Here is a 27,966-nt window from a genome sequence, read left to right on the forward strand (position 1 = left end):
CTCAGATATCTCTATGAGTACTTTTTGTCAAGAGTAGAACTACACAGCTGGGTGCAGTGGCTCACGCCTGTAATCCCAACACTTAGGGAGGCAGAGGCAGGCAGATCACCTGAGGTCGGGAGTTCGAGACCAGCCTGACCAACATGGAGAAACCCTGTCTCTACTAAAAATACAAAATTAGCCAGGTGTGGTGGTGCACGCCTGTAATACCAGCTCCTCAGGAGGCTGAGACAGGGGAATTGCTTGAACCCAGGAGGCAGAGGTTGTGGTGAGCCGAGATCACGCCATCGCACTTCAGCCTGGGCAACAAGAGCGAATTTCCATCTCAAAAAAAAAAAGTAAGAGTAGAACTACAGGCACAGCTCCAGTGATGTGTTGGTGCATCCCAAGATGTACAAGGAATCAATTGCATGCTCTATAAAAATCTATTGCTTTATGCATCTATGAAATATATTTCTGAACACAGGCATTGCTACCTCTCCAAGAGGTAACCAATTTAACATGGCTCATGAATATTAAAGTTTCCTTTATTCCCAGATCACAGTGCCTCATATTATGATTTGACTTTTAGACTAAAATCTACTGCCTAAATTTTATAATCCATCTACGTAAATAATCTATATTAGATTTTATCAAAAAGTGAACAGAATATTGTGTAACTAGAAAATTCCTTTTTTCATCTCTAATGCTCCTGGAAACACTGTCTAAATGTATGCTGAGTGACACCTACTAAGCTTTCAAGACCAAGAATAATCTATAGGACCCAAAGAACAACAAATGTCAGTTAGAAAGTTGTTGAAGCTTCTTTGAACATCTTGATGCTTCTACTAATTCAATATAGGATTATATGGAAAGCTAACTCAGCTCTTTGATGTGCCTTTTAAGAGAGGATACACACACTGTGGGAAGGGCTAAGGGTATTACCATCAGCATATCACATCAAAATGGTATAAGTAAACTAGAAATAATATTGTACTGCTTCTAATTAAAGTTAGTCTCTACCCTAAGAGTGAGTTAATATCTGCTACGGTAAATTCTGCAATGAGAATGCTAAAGGCTACCTTAGTGTAGCAAATGAACCAGTTCAACAAGAGAAAGTACTTGGATTGATTAATTATGCCTGCCATGAGCACAGGAAGAAAGAGCACTGGCGTGTGTGCCAGGTATTCCTTCTTTTTCAGTGGCATGTCCCCAGGGAGCATGGTGTTAGAGAACTTCAAACTTTACTACACTGACTTTGGCAGCAAAATAAATATAACAGAAGAAAGGAATTTCTAAAAATAAAATAAAAAAATTTGAAATAGTTCTACTGAATGAATGGCATTTCCATGCTTCTGAGTGCAACAGGCTGTTCCTGGATCGTTATCCATAAATGCTTATGCAGAAGACAATACTATGGTCCAACTAGGCCATAACTAGCAAAATTCAATATGGGTATTGTTGTTTAATTTTTGATTAATAATGTGTATCATCTTTTTACAATGAGTATTTTTTATTGAACAGTATATTTAACACACTTAAAAATTATCCTATTACCAGAAAGATGTAAATGCCTTATCATATTGGATTAATGTTAACAGACTCTACTGCCACCTAAAACACTGCACTGCACTTAACCATAAATGTGCCAAAGTATTTTAGGGAAAGTTTTCCAGATCCTTTTATTCTTTTCCTTTTCTCAAATACTAAAATTTATTAATCATATATTTCATAGGGGAGAGCAAATTAAAGAGATAAAAAAAATTAAGATGAGTTGCACACTGAGCTGACTACCATGGGGAGAGATTATTAGCCCCATTTTCTAGATAAAAAAACAATAAGAAGTGAAAACATCAGGTCATAAACCCTGATCCATATGATTTAAAAGTTCACCCTCTTTCTACTGCACCATACCATAGAGCTCAGCAGTTTTAGTTAGAAGTGTGACTTCCCCCGAATGACTTCCAACAGACAGGCCAGTTAGACAATAGAGGGGACTAATAGACTGGAATCACAAGCTCTGATGTTTGAAATAAACAGTTACACAATTGTTTTATGCTTTTCTATGTACGTACTCTATGTAACCCAGGTGGGCATCTGCCCAGTAGAGTAGATCATTGGTGTAATCAATGGTGATGCCATTAGGCCACTCTAACTTGGTGGAGATTATCACAGACTTGTTGGTTCCATCCATGCCTACTCTCCCAATGTATGCGCGGTGACCCCAGTCTGCCCAGTAGAGGTACCTGTCAGGGCAAACACAAAGGGTCAGTCCCTGATGCCAAAAGAAGTCAGTAGCCAAAATACACACCTTTTCTCCATTTAGAGAAATGGAGTCTGCATTCTGTAGAGCAGACTGCATTCTGAATTCTTTTCTGCATTCAGAAAAGAAAGAGAGCTAACAGCAAATAATCTAAAAAAGAAAAAGGAAGGGGACAATGTACAGAAAATGCTCACAAATAAACATAGTTAACTGGATTTCAGTGGCTTTGACTTCGAGAGTCCAGTAAAGAAATCGGTTTTCTGAAACCACAGTTTTCTTTGCATGCAGCCAAAATACAGGACTTGAAAAGTGCAAAAGTGTGTCAGGGAAAAGAAAACAGAAGAGCTGATGATGATGATTTGAAGAAGCCATGCTTCTACTCATTACACTAAACAATTTACCAAGTAGGAAAAGCAGAAGACAAACCCCAGCAAGACATTGGCCTTGAGATAGTTACATGAACAGCCTTCTCGGTAACAGAGGCAGAAGAAGGAGGTGAAAGAAAAGCCCAGGATTGCAGGGAGACAATACCCATATTGAGGGTGAAGGGCAAGTCCTCTGGGATTATCAAAGCAGAAGGTGTTGTTGGCATCCACACAGTGCTGGGCCAGCATGCGGCGGTGTCCACCATTGAGGTCAGAGACAAAGAGGCCATCCAGGCGGGCATCCAACCAGTAGAGCTTTCTAAAATGGAGAGCCAGGAGTTAACCAATACAGTCACTTTGTGAAATGGTACATATTTAGCCACCCAGTTTCCTACCCAAGCTACCTGAGAATCACAGACAGTTGTTAGAAGTCACCTTTCTTCAGGCAAATGAGGGCAGGGGAAAACAGGAAGTTTGTCTTCCTGCAGTGAGGCAACAGAGGGTGCAAGACTGTGTGCAATAATTCCCACTTTAAGGTGGTGTCATGTAGAAAATACGGGGGACACACTTCATTCGACGGGTCTGGTTTTACTTTCCTCATGCAGCATAAGGCACCCTCTCCAGGCAGTGCAAAGGCTTAGCAGAACAGGGAAGCAGAGGTGAGTATCATGAATTACAGTTTAAATGGTGGAGTCAAGGAAACACACTTGTCTAAGTGTGTCATTGAAACTGCACAGAGAAACTCTGAATTATGACATTCTTAAGATAAAGATTATGACATCCTTAGGATAAAGAGACATCCCTGCCTCTGTCAGACAGGCTGTCAAAATGAGTTTCTCAACCTGAGACACATTTCACTTAATCAAACCTAAGAAGCTTTAGAAACATATTAGGATCTGTTAGAAACTGCTACCTCAAGGACATTTCTGTTATAAATGTATTTTTATTCAATAAAATTTATTTTTCTTATAAGGTAAGTGTTCTTAACCCAAGGTCTTTACCCAGAATCAGGGAAGCCAGCTTTGGTGATCTGTGTACTTTCTAAAGGGGCCCAGGGCTTTCACCAGAGTCTTATAGCATCCATAACCTTCCAAAGGGTTAAATGCACCTATAGTGAGAAGGTCATTTAGGATTTGATAATCAATTCCAACCGGAAGGAGAATGAAGGAGAATGATTTCCCTTCCAAAAGACCTGAATGCCTCTTTGCAACAAGTACGCGCTTAACCATTCATGCTGGATATCTGAATAGTTAGGACAGTAGCATCGCTTCAGGCTTCAGCAAGAAAGAATGAGTATCCATATATGTACAAGTCTTGCCAGTTAATTCACTTGGGTAAATGAGTAAATCCTGATGAATGAGATGGCTACAATCTTGGATTCCATCATGGTAGACACTAAGAACAGTGAGAATAATAGTAGCTAATTATTGAACACTTGTTAAATGCCAGGCCTCAGACCAGGGACTTTTTAAAACATTATATTATTTCAGATCACAACAGGCTTAGAAGGAGTTGCTATTATTATTCTTGTCGTATTAGTATTCCTGTTGCTATTACCATTCAAGTCCTGGCAGACTGGCTACCCCATAGGGCACTCTACTCTGTTGAGCTTACTGCTTTCCCATTAATTTCTCTTTATTCCACAGTCAAAAGACATCCTGTGAACAGATTCTTCTCAAGAAAACATGGAGAAGATATTCCGTCTCCACTACTGGAAAAATTAAGATAACTGAGAGCCAACAGTATCTTCCAATGTGCGTAATGGTGGTTTAAAAAGTTATATCAAATGCAAGGGCTTTGGAAACCAAACACCCTAATGCTGACAGCAGAAATATTTATTAATATTGGAGAAAAAAGTTGTTTCTAATTTCAGTGTAGCTAGTATCTTAGAACTGCCCCCTACCAATGTAAATGTAACTGGGCTCCATTCTGCCTTTGTGTTTTCAGGAACACTGAGCCTGGTTGTGCACCCTCCTGGACTTTCAAGAAAAGTTTACCCTACCCTCACCCAGACTTTCTTGCCCATCTTCCTCACATGTATTTAATTCTCTTCTGATAAAGAACACACCGAGATAGAGAGGAAATAGCTGAAATCCAAGAGAAACGTCATTCTAGCAGTTTCTGAGAGAGAGGGCTGAATGACAATGTCTTACAGTTCAAATATTATTTTTTCTGCAGTGGAACAAAGGATGGTGACAAGAACAGTACCATGCTCAGTTCTGTTCCTGGAAATCATTAATCACTATACTTTTTGACATGTAGGATACGTAAAACAGGAATTGATACATACAATAGGAATGCTTAGTCAACGTTTCATTTATTATCCAGCAAGCACTCAGCACCTATGTCAGGCCAGCTACTGGTCAGGGAGAACTGGGAAGCCAACTGTCCCCACCCATTTTAGGATCTTTACCCTTAAGGGAGTCAAATATAAGGATGTGGGGAAGAGCCCTCTGGAGGTCTGGGCTGACTGCAACAAGAATCTTTACAGCATACATCTTTACAGTGCCTGCAGATTGATGTCTATTGACCACAAAGCCAATTAGTTTATGCTGCCAAGAATCCGATAGATTTGATATTCAATAGAGATGTTAAGAAGTGTGGTTCATCTGGTAGTTTAGTTAAAATATCACTGGCCTGCCTTAAAGACTGTCAGTTTCCATAAGGGCAATCTCAAAACAAGAGTCTCATGTTAGCCATTCTCCAGTTTTCACGCCCAGCCCATGCTGGGAATGACTAGTATTGGTTGTTTTTTTTGTTTTGTTTGTTTTGTTTTTTTTGAGAAAGGGTCTCACTCTGTTACTCAGGCTGGAGTGCCATGCATGTTCTCAGTCCCTGCAACCTGCATCTCCTGGGCTTAAGGGATCCTCCTACCTCAGCCTCATGAGTAGCTGGGACTACAGACGAACACCACCTTTCCTGGCTAATTTTTTTCATTTTCCTTAGAGACAGATTTCGCCATGTTGCCCAGGCTGGTCTTGAACTTCTGGGCTCAAGCGATCCTCTCACCTCAGCCTCCCAAAGTTCTGAGATTACAGGCGTGAGCCACTGCCCCCGGCCAATGACAAGTATTGTAAGCAAGGCTATGTACTTCAGGAGAGCAAGGGCCATGTCTGCCTTGTTCCCCTCAAAACCCCTGCTGCTTGTCATCACGCTGGGCATGTAGGAGGGACTCAGGAAGTAACGACTGAATGCACCAATGAATGCATGAATCGTCCCTTCATATCATCTCCAGTTAAGTGAATGGCCAGCAACAGTGAACTCTCTTCCCTTGCAATTCCTCTTTCCATAAAAATGATACTATAAATTTTTAAAATAATTAGATATTCTGTTCTGAATCTATCATTTGAATATCAGATACAAAGCAGAAAATAAACCTGCAGAAACATTAAATGTATCTGCATATTAACCCAAGTTGAAAAATTAATTTCCTATCAAGATGAAAACATGGTTAGAATTTTTTAATTTTTAACTTTTAAAAAGCTCATCAGTGTTTTCTTACCTGGAAACCCAGTCTACAGCCAGACTTTCTGCAGCTGGTAGTCTGTGGTTTATGATTGTCTCCTTGTTTGTCTTATTCAGAAACATTCTCTCAATGACTTGCCTCTGTGTATCAATCCAATACAATCTCTTCTCTACTCGGTCAAAATCTAATGCCACAACATTGTCCAGTCCTTCCAAGATGAGGGAGTAAAAATAGCCATCTATAGTTAAATTTCTCAAATAGTAACGGTTGCTAAAAATGAGATAGGGTTCGATGTTACTGTTTTGCCGGCAGGTCTTTCCATCTGGTTCTCGGAGGTAGCCTGGGGCACACTTACAGATGTAGGAGCCTATTACATTCTCACACTTCTGGCTACAGACAAAAGGCATCTCTGTGCATTCATCAATATCAACACAAGTCCGCTTGTCAGACATGAGCTTGTAACCAGGACGACAGGAACAATAGAAACTGGTTAAGGTGTCTGTGCAGTTGTGATCGCAGCCACTGATTGAAGGGTCATGGCATTCATTAATGCCTGTAGGTAAAAAGCAGTTCTTAGAGATCCTAAAATATCAACGACCAACTCACTATAATGGTTCAAAGTCAACATTTCTACTAAACAGTGCCAATTCTTAATGAATCATGCTAAGACAGACAACAAAGACTTCCAAAGACTGTGGATTATTGAAAAGTCACTATTTTTCAACTTCCTCACCAACTTACTCCTTCATCAGTGGTTTCAACAACTAATACAGGAGAAATGAGAAAGAAGAGGAGAAGAAAAGAGCCTGGCCAGTGTGCTGGTCAAACAGGACTCAGGAAAAATTTTCTAAATGCTCTGATTTGTAGCATGTTCCAGTGTGACTGTTCACACCATGGTCAAGCTCAGGCTTCCAGTGTGACATCACTGAACATGGAACCACAAAGAGATACACACATTTGCCTCTCACGAGATGGCATGAGCTCAACACTAGGTGCAACACAACACTACATGTCCCTCTGGCTGGTCCTGTAACACATGGGCAACCTCACCCAAAAATGATCTACAGAGGGAGGACAGCAAGTTCTTATTAGTTCTCTACTCATCAAGGAGCAATAGATTAAAACTTCATGCATTGCAAAATCCATTATCCAAATATCAGGCCAAGCTCTTCCACTAGTTCACTGTGCACCCCCAAACAATTCGTTTCCCATCTATGGGCTACAGTCTTATTATCTGCAAAGAGAACAGGGTACAGAAGATCACTAGTACTCCTTCCAGTTGTAAGAGTGAATGTTTCATAGGTTTGGATGAGACCTACTGAGATCACTTCGTCTTCAAGCTAAAAATTTTAATTTGAATTATGTACTATTGAGGATTTAATTCTTATAGTTGAGGTAAGGCAAAATTAATTAAAATGCAATGGGAATCTATATGAATTAGGAGTAAACATAAGAAAGTTCCCTATGATTTTTGTATAAATGTATAATATAGCACATGTTTTTCTTAATTTATTAAATGGTTTTTGAAACTTTGGTAGAAATTTATAGAAGTTTTTCTTACAATAGAGCAAAAGCCAGTTTTTGGATGATTTTTAAATTTTTTTCTTTTTTTTTCTTCAACTTTTAAGTTCAGGGGTACATGTGCGGGATGTGCAAGTTTGTTATAATAGGTAAACACGTGCCATGGTGGTTTGCTGCACAGATTTTTTAATATTATGCATAGATAATCTCTTCTCCACATTTCCACAGCAGTTTCTGTCTAGCATTTAATTTTAATGTTATTTCATATAAATCTTATCTTTCATATAAGGATAAAAACTACATTACATACTTCTGGGTCAATTAGGCAAATGCTTTCAATGAGTACTGACAATGAACAAGTGGAATAAAGAAAACAAAATAAATGAAAGGATATGGTCTCTAAATTGTTATTACAGAGACAATATCAACATACATGAAACAATGGTTACAAGGATTAAACACCACAAACAGGACGAACTGCCAATATTATGGAGTTCAAGATGGTGCTAAGCAAACAATGCCCATGCTGTGGATTCTCAACTGCTTTACTTGTGGTGGTTGGGGTGAGAGAGATATTAAACTCTCCCATTCAATTACCTGAGGACAAAAATGAAGAACAGGCCAACGAGTTCTAGCAGAGGGATGCTTCAGGCAAAAAGTCATTACAAGAATTCAAAGAGAATCAACCTGGTTCCCTTCATTCTTGAGTACCTTATTTGGCAATAATGTTAAATGATGGCCTGAATATTTGCCCATCTTCTGTTCTCTCTAATGACTATCTAAGCAAAGAATTGGTCCAAAAAAATGTGTGTCCCCATCTTATATACCAAGAAACTTTGGTAACCTTTTGCTATATCAGGAATAGTGATTTTATGGTAACTTTGTAGTTAGAGGACAGGTTGGAAAGTCTAAGTCGTGAAGGGTTGAGAATCCATATTCAGTCTCCCCTGTTTCCTTTTCCCAAATCCTCTGTTGTACTCACCACAGCCTTTCTCATCGCTGTTGTCCAAACAGTCATCTAGGTGGTTGCAGAGTTTCATCATCTCGATGCAGCGCCCATTGTCACACTTGAACTCGTGAGGTGGACACGTGGGTTCTGGGGTGTGGCACAGGTGCATCAGCTCATCAGATCCGTCTCCACAGTCATTATCCTCATCACAGACGAAGGTTTTACTAATGCAGCGCCCGTTCTGACAGGTAAACTGATTCTGTTGGCAAGTCTGGTATAAGCAGCCCCTCTCGTCGCTATAGTCACCACAGTCATTGTGCCGGTCACACCTGTATCATGAGATCCAGTACCACTTTCAGAGAGGTTGGCAATAAACCTCAACTATTACCCACTTGGGGTTTTGCTTCCTTCTTTATCTACCTAAATGCCAGGTCAACCATTTCGACAAGATCACCAGTGTCCTTGATCCCCTTTCCCCCATCATCTTCGTCTACCCCACTAATCGCCAATTCTAGAAGAATCCAATATTTGGCATTCCACACAACTTCCTCAGGGGCTGGCTGCTACCATTAGAAATGCTACCATTAAATGCTACCATTTAATAGCTATAGATAATTAGTAGGTCTATAGCTATTAAAAATAATTGCATTCATTTTTTCCTTAGTTGATAAACTAATTAAATACAACTTTTGTAATTTTGGTATACATCAGATCTATGAGACAGCTTATGAACAGTGGCACTATCTATGTTCAACAGATAATGAGATAGCCAGTAGGCACTGGCAATGTACTGGGTAATCACATGATAAAAGTGCCCATACCCAAATGGAAACTCATAGGGTGAGTGCTATATATTATAAATAAGATTATTGGGTGTGTCCTCTAAGAACACATATCTTCCCACTGGAATAACGTTTACATTGTCAGTCCTGTTCCTTCCATCTTTCATTACACTCCTGCCATCTATCATGAGATGTGAGTCTTCATGGTGATGTGAATAAAGGCAAGCTAGTAGGTTAGCATGGCATACTGGCAAAGGAAGAAGGCATGCTGTAGTACTAGAAGCTATCTCGGGACCTAACATACACAGGCATCATTATAACAATATAATTTCCTGAAGTTCTGTGAGCCAAACTGGCCTTTCTTCTCCATATTACTCCAAGATCCCATAAAAGTTATGATGTCTAAAGGGGGTCTCACATATGCATCAAGGAATCTTTGATAAGAGTGAACAAAGCTAATGGTTTTGAACAATTTATCATAGAAAGCATAGGAGCGGCACATAGAGCATTACAAAATGTGAAGGCAACAACGGTGAATGTGGTCAGTTTTACAACTGACCTATAACCAGGCCTGCTAACCAGCACTGCCATCCATAAACCCAGGGCCTTGTCAACATGATTTACAGCAAAATGTGTGCATGTAATTGTGAAGAAAGCTGTGGTCAAGGCAGACTGGCTCAGCTTCATTTGGTCTCCCGGGAGCTATTTAACTCATTTCCAAATGGTTTGAAAACACCAATGTTTTCCTTTGTCTAATTTAGATCCAATGCAGGAGGAAAAACAAGTCATCAAGCAAATCACCAAGCTTTCAGACACTATTGCAAGTCAGTATTCCAGCTCATCACCAAATTGTCACCCCTCAGTCTTATCATCCATGTTTTTCAGCAGCATCAGTAGTGAGCCAAGAAAAAAAGAAGGTCAATAGGAAAAATGATCTCCTGTCCCACTGTACCAAATGGGGAGCACACTTTCTGCCAAGCAAGCAAGGAGATGCACACTAACAGCACACCTAGTAGAGGCTACTCCAGACACAGATTTTGGACTTACTTAGAAGCTGATAGCTCAGGTTTTCAAACAAACAGTATTTTTTTTTCTCTTCTACTATAGCCCTTTTCAAGGAAATTCAGAAAGCTCAAGGAAAAAAAGAAAGAGAGAGAGAAAGGGAGGGAAAGTGAAGGAAGGAACAATGGACGAACAAAGAAAGGGAGAGAGGAAATGTTACTGTGCTGTGAGATCATAGTAATGATAAAGGAAGAACCCAGAAAGCTCAGAATGGGAGGAATAAAGGAGATAACTTGGAGTCTGATCAAAATCAACACCTGCTACCATTCTTGTGCCTAGAGTCTAAGCCTAGGTATTCAGAATATATTTACATCTAAGACTAATGCTATTAGCTATTTACCAAATTCAGAAAAACTATAGAAGTGCAACACAATAGAACTCTTGAGCAGTAGGGAGAAAATATAGACAAAGATTTATCCACTTTAGGTGCAAAAAATAAAAATCTACACTTTACATTCATATTACTTAAATACAAACAAAGCATATTCTACTGCAGCTTCACTACAAAAGAAGACAGCTCCACCTCTTGAATGTCTTTGCATTGTCAGTTCACAAACTACCACCTCTCAGCAATGTCCACTCATCAGAGGATGAATCACCCACAGAGTGTATTTTCCTGATAGCATTTATCTACTTTTTAAATTACTGCTGAGTCCCTGCTCCTTCACCTCCTCCTTCTTCCTCAGGACCACCACAATAAACACACAATCGTACACCACACTGGACTCCAACGGTACATTAGCGCCTGTTGATGAGCTGCCTGCCCCTCCAGTCAATGGCCCCTGTGACTCTGCTTCTCTGATCTTGTGCCTACTTAGTATATCTTTCCCACTGTCTTCCTTCGCATGCTGTAAGGTGGCCATTCCTGATGCTCTCAATGTGCCTGTGTGTGTCCCTTAACAGTCCTTGGCACAAGCAATATCTCTTCACGGCTCCAGTTGTGCCCAAATACCTAAGACATACTTTCACCTCAGGAAGTCCTACTATGTCAAACTCACCTTCCACCTTGAGCAAGCGCCTTTCTGGACTCCCCTACTTTTGCTAATGCTCGTACTATTTTCCTAGTCAATCAGGATTGAAACTTACAAATTGTTCTTCTCCATTTCCTTCCATAATCCAAGTATTTGTTAAGTGGGATGATGAGAAGTTGGGATGTTAAGAATGTATATAAACTGTTTGAAGAGGCCCATTTGGAGAAAGAGGTAAGAAGTCAAACAATGGAACATTGCAGGAGAGGTCCCCCAAACCAGCAGGCTGTGAGCCGAATCTGTTTGATCCACACAGTGTTTTAAGAATTTTAAAATTTGTTTCCAGCATTTAAAATCAGAGTATTTCAAATGAAAATCCAGATTTCCAACTTCTGTCAAAAAGAGAGCATCAGAAAGTCTGGCCTTCCAGCCCTTCTGCATGATATTGATCAATGTCTGCATCCTTAGTTGGAGACATTGTCTCAGTTCACTCCACCTGCCTCTACTTGACTCTGAGCCTAAGAGCCAAGCTCTATTTATCATCATGCTTGTGCTGTTATTTTTCTTGTAGTAGAGAGAAGAGAGTGAAACAGTTCTTGTAATACCAATGCCTCTACTCCAAGTGGAAAACTAAGCGGGTCACCAGCTTCAAGAAAGAATTCTTATCTCAAGCCCTATCCATTCATCTCCCTGGCCCTCTGTGCAAGGCCAGATTCTGTCTTTCACAGGCCCTAGGCATTTTTGCCTTCTTGGGTTCCTTCCTCCATAAAAATATTAAAAATTATATTTAATTTTAAATTGTTAATATGGTATTATGTATTAATAATTCAAGTAACTTCTTTTCATTTTAATGCAATCATATTGGTATAAAGCCAGATATATTAATATTATATATTAAAATACTTTCTTTGATGTAAAAGTTTTTTTTCCCTTTGATTTGGAAAGGAATCCAAACATTTTCATAAGCCACTAAAAGCATCATGGGCCCTGGGCACTGTGGCCACGGGGTGCCTGATAGGTAAGTGAGCCCAGCCCCCATGGACATTTGAGGCATGCTGGGTAACTTCTGAATCCTCAATTCACCTGAATATCTTTGGGATACACAGTCCGTAACCACAGGTGAATTCATTTTCAGAGCAAGTTCTCCTGGTGCAATTCTGATTCTCATCGTAGCCGTCAGTACAATCCACATCGCCATCACAGACCCAAGACTGGGGAATGCACCTCCTGTCCGGAGGTCTGTCATTTACACAGAGAAACTCGGAATCCGAGCAGTTTTGATTCTCTGAAACCAAAGCACGCAAGAATCAGAAAGCATGAGAGCTCAGTGCAGCAGTTAATTCTCTTTGCTTTAATGTTACTTACCATTCTAAGTATGAAAGGAAATGGGAGGAAAACACGTAGACAAATTACACTGCTATTATAATAATAGATCATAATAAAAATACCTCCAAAGATTCCATTTTAATTGCTTTGGACCCTGGCTTTTTCAAAGAAATCAATACAATAAAATGTCTCATTTATTTTTCCATAAAATACATTAGAATGGTCATACTTTTTCCCTTAGGGCTTCAGAAAACCACTACCATTTTGTTAACTGGATACCGAATGCCTTATATTTTGGTAACTTTTTTTAGTTTACAAAGTATAATCACACAAGCACAATGTGAAATAGGTATTTTTACACCATTTGTATAGATGAGAAAACTGAAGCTCAAAGATGGTTAACTGGATGTCTCAAAGTCATAGAACTAGGTGAAGAGCTGGGGCTTCAAACCTAGGTCTTTCTCCTCCAAATTTAGTGCTTTTCCAACTACATTATAGCTACCACCCCAAGCAATATTGGGGTGGAGAGGAAAGGCATATGCTAACAGAGTTGTCAGAAACCATGATGCTATGAGGAAAGAGGTGAGATGCTGACATCAAATCATTAGTGTCCACAAAATAAAAGAACAGGGGTTTTATCCAGACTCATTGCAGGTGAATAGGAAACAAAAGAAAGAAGATGATGTTGGTAAAGACAGGTGAGAGAAATGCATACACCACAATCCATGTATGTGTAGCTGAAAACCACCCATGTCAGTGGATAGGGTGGATAGGGTAAATGTGGAGTTGTGACCCACCACCAAAGTCACAACACAGGAGGGTGCCATCAGATGCAAGCAGCAGGGAGCCATTGAGTCTATTGCCCTACCATAGAAAGACATTATTCTAACACCGATTAGATTAATTCTTGAACTAGCTAAGATTTCCATACCCTGTTGGTAATGAAAATGATGTTCCATTATCTACTCAAGAGGCATAACACCCCTCCCTCCATGCCGCTTTAAGGTGACAAAGGAAACCAGAGACAGTTCATTGTTATACTGTGAAGGTTGCTATTAAGAGTGGCCAACCACTGGGTGCAGTGGCTCATGCTTGTAATCCCAGCACTTTGGGAGGCCAAGGCAAGAGGACTGCTTGAGCCCAGTAGTTTGAGATTAGCCTAGCCAATATAGTGAGACTTCGTCTCTACAAAAAAAAAAGTATAAAAAATCAGCCAGGCATGGTGGTGGGCGTATGGTCCCAACTACTTGGGAGGCTGAAGTGGGAGGATCGCTTGAGCCTGGAAGGTGGAGGCTGCACTGAGCCATGATACCGCCACTGCACTCCAGCCTGGGCAACAGAGTAAGACCTTGTCAAAAAAAAAAAAAAAGAAAGAAAGAAAAGAAAAAAGAAAAGGAGACAACCAAGTATTTGTGGGTTTTTTTTTTCCCCTAGAAATGTAGGACATTATGTCCATTAGCCAAATGTAAGAGAAAGAAAGTAAACATAAAGTCATTTTTCATCACTCTGAAGCATTTAAGTGGATGATATCAAACACTCCCAGCATGGAGAAACAAAGGTAACATTCTATCAGTGTCCATTCAATTACAGAGAAATCTGCAATCATACTCTCCAAACACAGAAAAACAACTCTACTGTGTTTCCCTGGAATGTGACTCTGCAGAGGAATTAATTGGCTTCACTTACGACACTGGTGCCTTTTATCCTCGTCACTCATATCCCCACAGTCATTATCACCGTCACAGATCCATTCGCTTGGGATGCACCTCCCACCATCACACTTGAACTCATCAGCTAGGCATGTTCGCTCAGAGTGACCTGAAAAGATCAATAGCATTCTCAGTGAAAAAAAGTGGTTTACAGTCCAGGAATCTGGAGACAAGCTGGTTGTAGCATGGGTTGTCTAGAAAACCTGAAACAGAGCATTATTTAATTATATACATCTAGGGTAGTCCTCCAATAAGACTAGTACCAGCGACCAACAGTTTGAGGTAAAAGTAGTCAACTGACAGTGCAAAGCCCTAATTATCTTTGGTGACTAAAATGAGATACAATATTCCCTTATGTGTATGGTAGAGAAAGAACACTTCTTTTCCCAGGAAAGATATGAATTACCTACTATTTCACATGTTTCTATTTTAAAATCTACTTTTCATCCAAAACCATTTTGTTTTGTGCAAAGTCTCCCCTCGCCTGCACTCCCCATGCCCGCTTCCTTGCTCCCTTTCCTTCTTTCCATAACACTTAGCACCACCTTTCAACATACTAGACAATTTACTGATTGGTTGCCTGTCTCCCCTCTTTAGAATATTAGCTCCATGTGGGTAGGGATTGTTGTCTTATTCACTGACACAGCCCAAAAGTTCCTAGAACACCACTGTTCAATAAATACTGAATTAAAATAAGTCACTCTTCTACTTCAAATTAGCCATCACTGATTCAGATGCTCTAACCCTAACCCCACATGTTCCTATTTAACTAATGAAGGTGTCATAGGCTCCCAAACCCAGGGGACCCTGGAATTAGCCTAAGGCAAGAGAAAGTATAGTTGCAACTGATAAAGACACAGCCTATATCATAACAGTAACAAGAAACAGGCTCTTTCAGAAGCTGCTATGAAAAGTGTGTACATTGATCCAGACTTTTTTTTTTTTTTTTTTTTTTGGAGACAGAGTCTCACTCTGTGGCCAGGCTGGAGTGCAGTGGTGCGATCTCGGCTCACTGCAACCTCCGCCTCCCAGGTTCAAGTGATTCTCCTGCCTGAGTAGCTGGGATTACAGGCGTGTGCCACCGCGCCCGGCTAATTCTTGTGTTTTTAGTAGAGACAGGTTTCACCATGTTGGCCAGGATGGTCTCGATCTCTTGACCTTGTGATCCGCCTGCCTTGGCCTCCCAAAGCGCTAGGATTACAGGCGTGAGCCACCGCGCCTGGCCTGATCCAGATTTTTTGAAGAGACATATCTCCTTTGATACAGCAGCACCATTTCTGGACATCTAGACCATAAGGATCTTTCCACATGTGCACAAAGGATGTTCACCCTGACACTGTTTTTCATAGTGAAAAAATGGAAACAACCTAAATGTCCAACCACTAGGAAAAGGATAAAAATACATGGACCATTCGCATTTTAAAATATTCTTTGGCAGTGTACAGGAATGAGGCTGGTCTGTATTTGCTGACATGATGTTAAGCTTAAAAAATAAAAGCTAATTGCAGAAAATATGTATAGTAAGACTCCATCTGTTTTTTTAAAATCTATATATCAAGATATATAAAAGTAAAGTAAGATATATAAAAGATAAAAGTAAGTCAAATTCACACTCAACCTTTTAATAGTGATTACCTTTGAGGAGTGAGGGGATTGGAGAAGGATGAAAAAATGTAAATTTTACTTTTTTGTACATCGTATTATTTCTTTAAAATATATTTCTGAATATTATTACTTTACTACAATGAGGATATATTCATATATAGATTATGTGCTTATTTTTATTTAAATATATCAGGTCATTGGTACTCACTGCTATTACTATGGCTTTTGTTACCATAGAGAAGTTTAAAAACTCATATTAATTATTCATATATTTGAACCAATAATTCATACATTTGAAACAATCTCTAAGACTATTCTACTCATCCAGCAGTTATTAGTTATTTCCTTTACAGGTCCTCAAAACTCTATGTGCCCTTTGCTTTCTATAAAACTTTCAGTGTTGGGGAAAAAGAACTTAGTGAAGCACTCCAAATACCACTCTTCAACACAGAATTTAAACCTGAGAGAAAACTGGAATTGAAAATAGTTTGACTTCAGCTATAAAACTATACTAATGATCCTAAGAAAATATCCTGAAAATAAAATGTTTTAAATACGATGTTAATATTTACTGCAATGATATATACTATAGAGGAATAAAATAAAAGCAACCTAATGCTTAATAATAGAGGCAGTTAATTTGATGATACTATAACCACTCAATGGAATATTATAGTCATTAAAAGGCAGTATGAAGACAAGGACGAGCAAACTTTTTAACTAGATAGTAAATATTTTAGGCTTACAGGCCCTATGGTCTCTGTTGCACCTACAGGACGTGGCCATAGTAGAGGGACAGCAGCCATATGTGGCTGCATTTGAGTAAAATGCTATCTATAAAGACAGGCAACTGGCCACAGCCATAGTTTTCTGACTCCTATATAGCAATATGATTTATTGACAGGTTTTTTAAAGCAATGTAGAAGATTGTATTTTTATATTTTTACAATTATGTAAAAAATGTGCATGGATATAGATTAGAATTTGTGAAGGCAAATAGCAGCCTCCAAATGTAAACAGGGCATAACTGTCCCCAGGAATACAACCAAAGGCTCCTGCAACTTCTTGGGCCTCTTGTGCTCATAAACTGGCACAGAGAGAGAACAGGAAGAGGATGCATGCTCCTAATATACTCCTTCCCCATGTATATGACTCCAATCACTTTTAGGTCCTCTGACAGCTTTCTGGGCCAGCACTCAACCAAATTCAGAAACTTCAATTGAGAGCCAACTAAAATTAAGTTCTACCAGCTAAGCACTGTATTAGGTGCATCACCAATATAATTTCATTTTATCAGCATCAATCAGCAGCTTCCGTATCCTGATCAGCTCCCCACACAGTGCTCTCCACTAACAGGTCTTAATGAATATCCGCTGAGCGGTGTCAGCATTCCAGATGAAAGCTGGGACAGGAAGTCCAAGCATTCAGCAGCCATGACCCTGGTCTGTATTTGAAGCAGTTGGAAGAGACTGAAGTTGTCTAGCTGCATCGTGATGTTTTTCATGCTTGCTTACTCTCTTACCACAAGAGGCAGGTTCATCAGAGGCATCAAAACAATCTGTTTCTTGATCACAATACCAATGTTGAGGAATACAGCGCCCAGATGCGCATTGGAACTCACTGCTGCTGCACGTGTGAGTGGCTGCAGGAGGGAAAGAAGATAAAACCCATGAGCAAAACACAAGCATGTTCCCATCAGTCTTAACAATCTGCCTCTATCTCTGAGCTAGATAATAGTTACCAAAAAAGGAAGACTGAGCCTGGAAAATGGATGCTTGTGTAAGCTTTCTGTGGGGAGGAAGAAGTATGGGAGACAGAAGGAAGTCAATCCTGCCCCAATTCCCCAATTTGTTTTTCTAGATTCCAGAAATCAAAAAAAAAAAATTGTATTTGTTAGAAATACCAAAGAACTATCTTTGTGATAAATGAAATCACAAATTATAAGTCTTGGTTTTATTTTTTCTACTATAATGTAAGATTAAATAAATTCCATTGCAATGATAATTAAAAGCAAAACAATAATGTGATCATATCTAAGCTCGCTCCACACACAACCTTTTAGCTATGTTAGATAATAACTCTAGAAAGTTGGCAAAGTTATCTTCGTATTCATCCTTGGAATACCAGACTTTTAGTTGAGTAAGTGGGAAACTCTGCCTATGTTTGAACATTGACTCTTTTCTCCAGTAATTTTAGGTAGCTCTGGTTATATGCATTTTCCAAATTGTTATGTGGGTGCACATCTAATTAAAGTCTTGTAATTCTTCTGGTCTATAAGGCCGTTTTGCTTTGGCCCCTGATATCTGATGATTTGCCAGGGGAGAACTGACAATGGAAGCAGAGGTCCCTGAAAAGTCAGCAATAATTCCTATCTGTCTAGCCCTATCTGGTGGCTGCAACCTGAATTCTGCTTCCTTGTGCTGCTGTTATTACAACAGATTCCTCTTCCTGTGCTGTACCCTAATTTGGTGACAAATAATTATGATGCCCTTTGATTTCCTTGGGAGGGGCCAGTGACAAGAGTTTAACTACATATACACAGAACAGGGAAGTCCAATCACTAAATCCTTAAATTATGTATCTATTTACACTAATAGTCTCAAAGTTATCAAACTTAAGAAAGGCCTTTTAATTTGAGCTATAAATACAGGAAATTGTTTGAATGAACCAAATTGCTAAATACGAAATAGAGATTTCTGAAATTCCAACGTATCTAGGGGATATAAAGATACTTTCAGTTACTGGTCAGGCACGGTGGCTCATACTTGTAATCCCAGCACTTTGGGAGGCTGAGATGGGTGGATCGCTTGAGCCCAAGAGTTCCAGACCAGCCTGGGTAACACAGAGAAACCCCATATCTACAAAAAATACAAAAATTAGCTGGGCATGGTGTCACATGCACGTAATCCCAGCTACTCAGGAGGCTGAGATGGGAGGATGGCTTGAGCACAGGAGGCAGAGGCTGCGGTGAGCTGTGATCACACCACTACACTACAGCCCAGGTGACAGAGTGAGACTGTCTGAAAAAAAAATAATTTTCAGTTACTGATGGCCACTATAATAATATTAAGAGTAAATTATAAGGGCTTAACGGGCAAATTCTGCCTAAGTACATGAAGGCAAAAGGCTTTCAACACTGGGAGAAATGGCTCTCCAATAGTAGCAGATCTCTGGAAGAAATATTCAGGGTCTGGGAATTCTAGCCAGGGAACAGAGAGAAAGAGTTTCTCATACCCCTGCAATCACATATGAAAGCAACTGCCTACCACCTCTACTTAGAAGGTCAATGTGAAATGACAATTGAAATCAGCCCGAATACCCACGCTTCATATCTTTGTATTAGCTCACAACATGCATCTCTGGAACGATAGAAAGAAAGCAGTTTTATCTTACTCACTGCAATAAGTAGGGTTTTCATCACTGTTATCTCCACAGTCATTGTCTCCGTCACACAAATAAACGCGAGGAATACAAATATTTGAATTATGACATTTTGTGTATCCAGACTGGCAAGTGCGATCAGCTTGAAAAAGACAACCAGATAAATATTAGGAATATATCCACCAAATATGTATTATGAACAGTATCCGTGCTAACACATCTATTGTGGAACTCAAACCACTGGAAGGGCGGCATTTTCAAAGCCATCAGAAAGGCAGGATCCATGATACTTATGTTACCTATAGATTCTGTAGTAAAAAAACATATTTCCAGCTGATACTGGGGAGAAGGGAGAGGAGACACTGGTTTGTAACTTAAATCATCTGTTTTCATTAATTAATAGCATCAACAAGAGTTCCAACTCTTGGTAAAATAAACTATGGCATTTCCACACAATGGAGTAATATGTAGCTATTAAAGGAATAAAGAAGATTTCTATATACTGATAAGTAATGACAGTATAATCTTCAGGATATATTGTTAATAGTAAGAAAGCAAGATTCAAAACAGTAGGCTAACTTTTGTGTAAGAAAAAGGACGATATAAGTGTATGTGTGTGTGTGTAGCAAGAGAGAGATGCTTATATTAAAAACAATAACAACAAAGAAAAGATAAACTAACAAAAATTGTCATCTCTCTGGATAGACTGAGAAGAGCACAGAGGAAGCAGAAAGGAGAGGAAGAAATGAAGGACTTCTATAAATGCACCTCGTCATGTAGTTTTAACTTTGGAACTATGTATGCTATTTTGTACAAATAAAATCAATAAAATAAAATAAAATTTGGAAACAGCAATAGATAAAGCTAACTATATATCAGGTTGATAGCATAACCCTGCAGAAAAAAAAATTCCAAATATCTTTAAAGTCATACCTTTGACTGCATATCTCTAGTGGGACATAATCTAAAAAGCAAGAAGAATCTCGCACTTAGTAGACTTATTGTTAATAGTATTCTTTGAGTGGTTATAATAATGTTGAAATTATTATAGGCATTTTGAAATTACTATATAATAAAACAACTAAATGTCAAGAGAAACTATGATTTTAAGCATAAGAAGAGATGTCATTATAAAATCTAAAATGTAAACAACCTGTAATCTTAAATTTCAATGGGAAATATCAATAAAAATTTTTTCTGGCCGGGTGCAGTGGCTCACGCCTGTAATCCCAGCACTTTGGGAGGCCAAGGTGGGCGGATCATGAGGTCAGGAGATCGAGACCATCCTGGCTAACATGGTGAAACCTCGTCTCTACTAAAAAATACAAAAAATTAGCCAGGCATGGTGGCGGGTGCCTGTAGTCCCAGCTACCCGGGAGGCTGAGGCAGGAGAATGGCGTGAACCCGGGAGGCAGAGCTTGCAGTGAGCTGAGATCGCGTCACTGCACTCCAGCCTGGGCGATAGAGCAAGACTCCATCTCAAAAAAATAAAAAAATTTTTTTTCCTTAAAAACTGTATTTCCTAGCTCTGACCATTGAAAAGGACTAGAAGCAATGAAAGCTAAGTAGGAATGAGCAACTCAACCCTGTGATAATTTCTAAGTACCACAAAGGGAATGAGGTCTCCTTGGATAAGTGGCTAATTCCAGGACTGGGACAGGAAATATAAGACAAGCTTGAGCTATAAGAAGATGGATTGGGGTCATGCCAAAGAACAGAAAATTCAAGTTAAGGACTCCCATTGGCCTAAGTTTGGACAACTGGGCACCAAGAAAAAACAGTTGACAGCACTGTATTAAAACTCATCAAATACATGAAGATCAAAGAGTTCAATATAATACTAAACTAAACTAAACTAAACAAAAAGTTAATTCTCCTTTGTCACCAACTCATTACTCTGAAAATTGACAAGCAAAAGGTATTTATCCTGTAGATTCTAATTACCAACAAAAGCTGGTAAGGGAAATGTCTTCTTTATCAAACTTCAGCTAATAAATGCGGCAGGAACACTAGAATTCTAAAGAGCCCATTCATAACTCTTAAAGAAATAATGGGTTTACGGAACAACCACCGATGGATGCTAAAACCACTGGGTGAAAGGATGATGGGAGCTTCATAAGAGATGATTCAGGCTGACACCAGAATCCACTTAAAGTGGGGCAACAAAACATCATGTGCCTCATAAGGTGATGCAACAGGAAAGGCACAGCTCCACCTCTGAAATACTCTTACCCAAAGAATTGCACCTGTTATGATCAAAACTCTAGGTCTACATACCAGTTCATAGGAAATAAGAGGGATAAGATAAATTAAATGGATCAATTATGCAATTAGTCAAGTCCAGAATGTGAGATATTCTACAGGACAAATCACCTAATCTTTCTAATGAATCAATGACATTAAAAAGTGGGAAGTGTTGTGGCATAAAAGAGATTGAAGAATTATAACAATCAAAATCAGTTGTAGATCTCATCTGAACCCTAACTTGAACAGAGAACAGTAAAAATACATTTTGGGGATAAGTGACAAAATTTGAACATGGACTAGGTACTCAGGGATATTTAGTAAGCACTTTTGATTTTGCCAGGCATTATAATGGCATGGTAGTTATTTTCCAAAATGTTATCAGTGAAGTGCATGACTAGGAGTCACTTTAAAATACTAGAAAAAAGGAGAGAAAAATGAAACAAGATTGGTATTTGTTGATACTTGCTACCGCGCCTAGCCAAAAATTTACGTTTTAGATAAATACTTAGGGTTTTTATTTTTGGAAAGCCTTTTTTTTATATAATAATTTCATCTCCTGTGATCCAAGACTTCAGACCCAAAATCACAATAAGCACTTAAGATAAACTTACGGCAATTTTTCTCATCTGAAGTGTTATTATCATGGCAGTTGTCTACACCATTGCAGATAAACTCACGAGGTATGCACCTTCTGTTATTGCACATAAACTCCGTGGTGGCATTGCAGTCCCTGAACAGGCACCCTGCCTCATCACTGCCATCACCACAGTCATTGTAGTAATCACAGCGGTAAGAGTATTGGACACATCGCCCATTGGCACAGGTGAAGGCTGTCGGTGAGCAGGTGTGAAGTGCTAAGAACAGGAAAAACATGAGAACAAACCCTCTTGATTAAAACATTATCCTAATTTTTAAAAAGATACAATTAAATAAAAGAGACACTTTGAATTTACCTTCCAAGGCAAAAAACGCTGCAAAATGGACTGCATGCAAAGTGAGATAACACTTTTAATTAGTTAGATTAAGCAAAATATGTTGTATACATTTTTAAAATTGTTTTAGGCACAAATCAAGTAATTTAAGCACAAATCAAAGTCATTCTGTTTCTCTATAATCTCAATTTATCTCAATCACAAAAAGCATGCAATTATAGTTTATTTCAGGAAAATAAAAACTCCTAGCCCCTATCACAGTCTGCTAGGAAAAGGTAACCAACCTCAGAACTCCCTGAGAAAGTCCACTGTGTTTTATTCACTCTATTCAGATGGAAGCTGAGGATTGGAAGTTATTTTCATAAAATTTTTGAAATAATGACCTTTGTGCTACGAAAATTGGTAAAATGATACGTTTCCTTAGTCCCAAGCTAAGCTAGACTTAGCTTGCACCATGCCTCATGCTAAGGGATTTTTACATATTGTTTCTCTTACTCCTCGCAAGAACCCTAGTAGTAGCTCCATTTTACAGATGAGATGTCTGAGGCTTGAGATATTAAGTAACTTTCCCAGGTCTATACAGATTACAAATGCGATCACCAGGATGATGATTGTGCTTGTGCTCTTAACCACTACAGAGGTGATTTAACAGAAACAGTCTGGATTATCAGAGGAAACATTTTTCAGCTCTACCAGGATGCCTAGGCACACATTTCAAACACATTCACACATAGCAGGATTCCATACCAAACACTTGACATCAAGATGCCATTAGCTCCTACCAAAAGCGCCAAGAGTCCAACTCACCACAGACACTTTCCATCTCATCACTGCCATCCCCACAGTCGTTGTCATTATCACACTTCCACTCTTCCGAGATGCAGCGCCCATTGGAGCAGGTGAAGGAAGATGCACCACATCGTTCACCATTGTCCACAATGCAGTGCTTCCTGTTGTTGGCCAAATACCAGTTGCCCTCATGTGGACACTGGCACTCGGCACCATTTGGACCTGAAGAAAGATAATCCCAGAAGAAGTAAAAGATGGATGCAGCCACCGTTCACATTGACCCCTCCACAATAGCACTTGCAACAGCTTCTACATTAAATGCTCCCTAAGAAGCGCCATGGAAGTTCTGCCCATTAACCTTTTAACTATATTCTGAGTCACTTTTCCATCAAGAAGAGCAATCACCAATTTCTAATAAATGTGCCGATTCCTTCTAAACAACAGGAAATATCAACGACTCTTCTCAGCAAAATTTGCAAAGCAACAACATCAAAAGGCACATCTTCCCGTGAATTTGTTGTTCTTTATAAAATGCACAATGAAGCACATATGATCCCACCCGCAAATATCACCAGAAATATTTCAAACTATAAATAATACCTCTTAAGCAGAAAATGTAAATCCTTTTATAAGGAAGGCCAGCTCATTGACAGAATTCTTAGTCAAGACATGAAGTAGGGCAGCCAAGGCCTTCATCTTTCTTTCTAACTCCATCAAGCTTGTATTTAAAATGCCTTCATAGGCTGAGTGCTGTGGCTCACGCCTGTAATCCCAGCATTTTGGGAGGCCGAGGTGGGCAATCTCTTGAGGCCAAGAGTTTGAAACTAGCCTGGCCAACATGGTGAAGCCCCGTCTCTACTAAAAATACAAAAATTAGCTGGACACGTCGTGTGCCTGTAGTCCCAGCTACTAGGGAGGCTGAAGCAGGAGAATGGCATGAACCCAGGAGGTGGAGGTTGCAGTGAGCTGAGATCCCGCCACTGCACTCCAGCCTGGGCGACAGAGTGAGACTCCGTCTCAAAAATAAAATAAAAGAAAATGCTTTCATAAAAGGGCTCCATATAGATTAGAAAAGAAGCCTGCCAAGTCTTCCTCTCAAAATATAGCCCCAGGTCTGTTTCATAAATTACCCTGACATCAAGGAGAATTTGAATTTTTTCTCCTGTGAGAACTTCAGCTTTCCTTACCAATTGGTATTGTGATCATTATTCTCCATGTTCTAATTTTCATGGTCAGTGCCTTACCTGGTGCACAGATATGGCTGCAGCCCCCATTAAACTGTTCACAAGGATTGTTACACTGTTGTTTCTGGTTCTTCACAACAGTGTTGATTCCCCTGGGCTGGGAGAGCAAATTTGTGGTCATTGCAATCTGACCTGACCCGTCATATTTGTTAGCTCGGTAAATTCTTTGTGTGTACAAGTCAGTCCAGTAAATATACTGGCCATAGAGAGTCAAGCCAAAAGCATGAACGGCTGCATTGACAATGACTTCACGATCCACGCCCGTCAGAGTGCTGCGTTCAATCCTCTGCCTAAAATGAAGCAAAAAAAAATTTAGAAGTTGAAATCTCAAGTGAGTTAAGTTTTCAACTGGCAGCCCAATGCATGCGCCTCATCATTGTTTACACAAGCTGCAAACTTTCTTTTCAAATGGGGCATATGGCAGCTGGAAATGTTTCTTCTGGTGATGGGAGGTCTTGTTTGCTTATCAAACAATAGCCTATATAAAATCATTGACTTCCAAATATGAATAGTAATCCTACAAAAGGAATCAGGTTGATATTAGAAACAGGAAAACATGAAATAATCCATGTAATGCATGGAACTCAGTGTTAAGCACATAGCAGACTCTCAATAAAACAATAACTTTTCCATCCCACTTCCTTAGTGACTTTTTCAATTTGATGTTTATTGAGTACCTTGAGGTGTTTACCTAGAATAATCCAAGCTTAGACTCAAAGCATCACTGCTTTGTTTCAAATAGGAGAATAAAGAAAAGATCAGGAGGTTAGGTCTTGGCATCAAAAGACTAAAATTCCAAAGAAATATGCAAGAAAAATTAAGATTCCCGATATGTAGACACCAGCCATAATAAACAAAATCATTTCATCCCTTCAACTATTCCATTAGGATGACTGGAATGTGAGACATATGGGGGGTACTTGGAGAAGTTACATACAAAATTAGAGTTGACAAAAGGAAAATATTAAGAAATGCGCTGAGGAGAAGCTTGCCAGAGAAGAAAGGGTCTATTTGAAAAGATGACAAAAAGTCAAAGACTGAAGAAAAGAATTTTCTTTTTTTTTTTTTAAGAAAAGAATTTTCTAAAAGACATTGAATGCTAAAGCCCAGAAAAAAACATAATATCAATTGGCATTTAAAAGTCATTCAGATTTTATAGCAGTTACCTAGGGCCTGCAGAATGTAAGTTGAGTAATTTCATTTGTAATTCTAAATTGAGAAAATACATTTATAATTATAGCTGAAATTATAGATATATTTAGCAATGCATCTTTAGATGTCTTTTAGTTCATAATTATTCAATGCATGATATAGATAAATTTTCACAGTATGTTCACCAAGTTCCAATATAAACATAGTTCCTAAAACTGTGATTCTATATTCTGGCAATGTCTATCTGGCATGCTATATTTTCATCACATGATGCAAATCCCTCTTCTTTGGAAATGGAAGAAAAACCTCTTCTTAACACCCACATGAGTAACCAGAGACACCTACAGACTAGCATCCACCCAGTAGAGAAGGTCCTCTTCATAGTCCAGAGTCAGCCCACTGGGCATGACCAGACTGCTGTTCACAATGGGTACGCGGAAGTTTCCTCCCAATGTGGCTCTCTCGATTTTGGCATGTGTATCCCAGTCAGCCCAGTACAGGTACCTAGTCATACAAAAGGAGTCAATAATTAATTCACAGGGAACCTCATAGTCCTTTAAAAAAAAAAAAAAGGACAATATTCTTTAATTGCAAATTGCCAGTAACATGGCAAAAGAAACTTCATTTCTACTTACACAACTTGTCCAAAGGAGATCTAGTAAGTCAGGGTGTTGACTTCCTAGTATGTTGCCAACCTTTCTGCCATCAAAGGGAGCTATGCGCTGCACCCTCCTTCCCACGTAAAATCACTCAATATGCTTTCATTTTTGAATCTGTAGCCATAGTTTTATAAGCCCATAACACATTGGCTATCTATGAACATAATTTCAGGCCCCATTTTTTCCAGAAATAAGCAGACAGAAATATAACAAGGAAGATGATGGCATACCCTTGGCAGGGATCTAACACAATTGCTCTTGGTTTTGGAACGCGGGCTATCACAGTGCGGTTAGACCCATCTTCAGCCATGGAATTAATCATCTGGTTGAGGTAGTCACTGTAATAAATTCTTCTAGTAATCCAGTCAAAGGCAATGCCATCAGCAGTCCCTATACCTGGACACATACAGGCAGACACACACACAAGCACACACAAAGACATTAGAGTCTCATATGCATTAGAAACACTCAGTCATCCATGTGTGTTGACCCCATTGTGTCTACTTGCAGGACAAGCAGCACCTGGAGTGCACTTACCTGAAGCAATGACAGTTGGAGTATGGATCCCTGAAGACAGGGTGGCATAGGAAATCTGTCCAACTCCAGAGGCTAAATTTTGTGTGAAGTAGATTCTATCACTTACACTGTCATAGTCTAGAGACATGACAGTTCTTTCCACATTTATTGTTTGGAAAGGTGGGCTATGGTTTTCAGGGTCCAAGTGTAAGCTTCTCAAGGAATTAGACAAGGCAAAGATGAGGAAATTTTCTGTTGAAATGGCACAATTCTTGCCATCACTTTGCAGGGTCCCAAAGGCACAGTCACATTTTGGGGTGTGCAATCCAGGCAGAGCAAAGCAGAGATGAGAGCACCCACCATTGTTTTCCAAGCAAGGGTTGTTGTTGACCTCTGCTGGTGACCGGGGCTGGACTTGCTTGTCAAAGATGGTCACATCTCTTAGCCAGTTGATATTGTCTCTTATCACTGTGGGTGGCTCTGTGTTCTCTGGTTCCTTGCTGGCTTGGAAGATCTTTTTCAAATTCCTATCTACCCATATGATAGAATTTTCAAAAACAGTGATGCCATAAGGAGTTGGGTAACGACTGCCATAACGAATCACTTCAGAGTTCTCTCCATTGATACGAATCCTTGCAATTATATCTAAAGAATCATCAACCCAATAAACGTAGCCATCACTTCGGTCCACTGCCAAGCCCCGTGGTGTGACAATGCCCTCTGACACAAGCACTGTTCGATTGGTACAGTCAAGGAAAGAACGCTCAATCTTTGGTCTCTGCCCATAGTCAGCCCAGAAGAGGTATCTGTTCTTGGGATCTACAACAATATGCCTAGGCATGTCCACTGTGACTTTAAGAAGAACACGGCGGTAAGTAGTATTGATCCGCAGAACTTCTATCAGTGTTTCAGAAACAAAGGCATTGGTGAAATAAAGATTTCCTATGGGAAAAATGAAAGTGCATGCTGATCAATGGAGAACCAAGAAGAAAAAAAGGGAGAACTTTACAAATTCAGAACAAAATATATAAGGTTGAAGTCTGGGTCACTA

At 39.4% G+C, this 27,966-nt stretch overlaps 1 protein-coding gene across 4 annotated transcripts in view; it reads right to left on the reverse strand.

The window, feature by feature from the left end:
- The window catches only part of LRP2 (LDL receptor related protein 2), a 235,426-nt gene that overhangs the window by 52,285 nt on the left and 155,175 nt on the right, over positions 1 to 27,966 (reverse strand). For all 4 annotated transcript variants that reach the window (XM_011511183.4, NM_004525.3, XM_047444340.1 and 1 more), the window contains 14 exons: positions 26,937 to 27,857; positions 26,630 to 26,795; positions 26,086 to 26,244; positions 24,589 to 24,878; positions 23,363 to 23,566; positions 22,235 to 22,477; positions 19,393 to 19,518; positions 17,518 to 17,637; positions 14,368 to 14,499; positions 12,439 to 12,640; positions 8,577 to 8,872; positions 6,110 to 6,626; positions 2,774 to 2,926; positions 2,055 to 2,225 (listed from right to left, as the gene is read on the reverse strand). In XM_011511183.4, the coding sequence (XP_011509485.1) occupies positions 2,055 to 2,225; positions 2,774 to 2,926; positions 6,110 to 6,626; positions 8,577 to 8,872; positions 12,439 to 12,640; positions 14,368 to 14,499; positions 17,518 to 17,637; positions 19,393 to 19,518; positions 22,235 to 22,477; positions 23,363 to 23,566; positions 24,589 to 24,878; positions 26,086 to 26,244; positions 26,630 to 26,795; positions 26,937 to 27,857 (3,700 nt within the window). The remainder of the gene's footprint in view (positions 1 to 2,054; positions 2,226 to 2,773; positions 2,927 to 6,109; positions 6,627 to 8,576; positions 8,873 to 12,438; positions 12,641 to 14,367; positions 14,500 to 17,517; positions 17,638 to 19,392; positions 19,519 to 22,234; positions 22,478 to 23,362; positions 23,567 to 24,588; positions 24,879 to 26,085; positions 26,245 to 26,629; positions 26,796 to 26,936; positions 27,858 to 27,966) is intronic.

The sequence above is a fragment of the Homo sapiens genome, chromosome 2 (genome assembly GCF_000001405.40).
Source record: "Homo sapiens chromosome 2, GRCh38.p14 Primary Assembly".
Classification (NCBI taxonomy): Eukaryota; Metazoa; Chordata; class Mammalia; order Primates; family Hominidae; genus Homo; species Homo sapiens.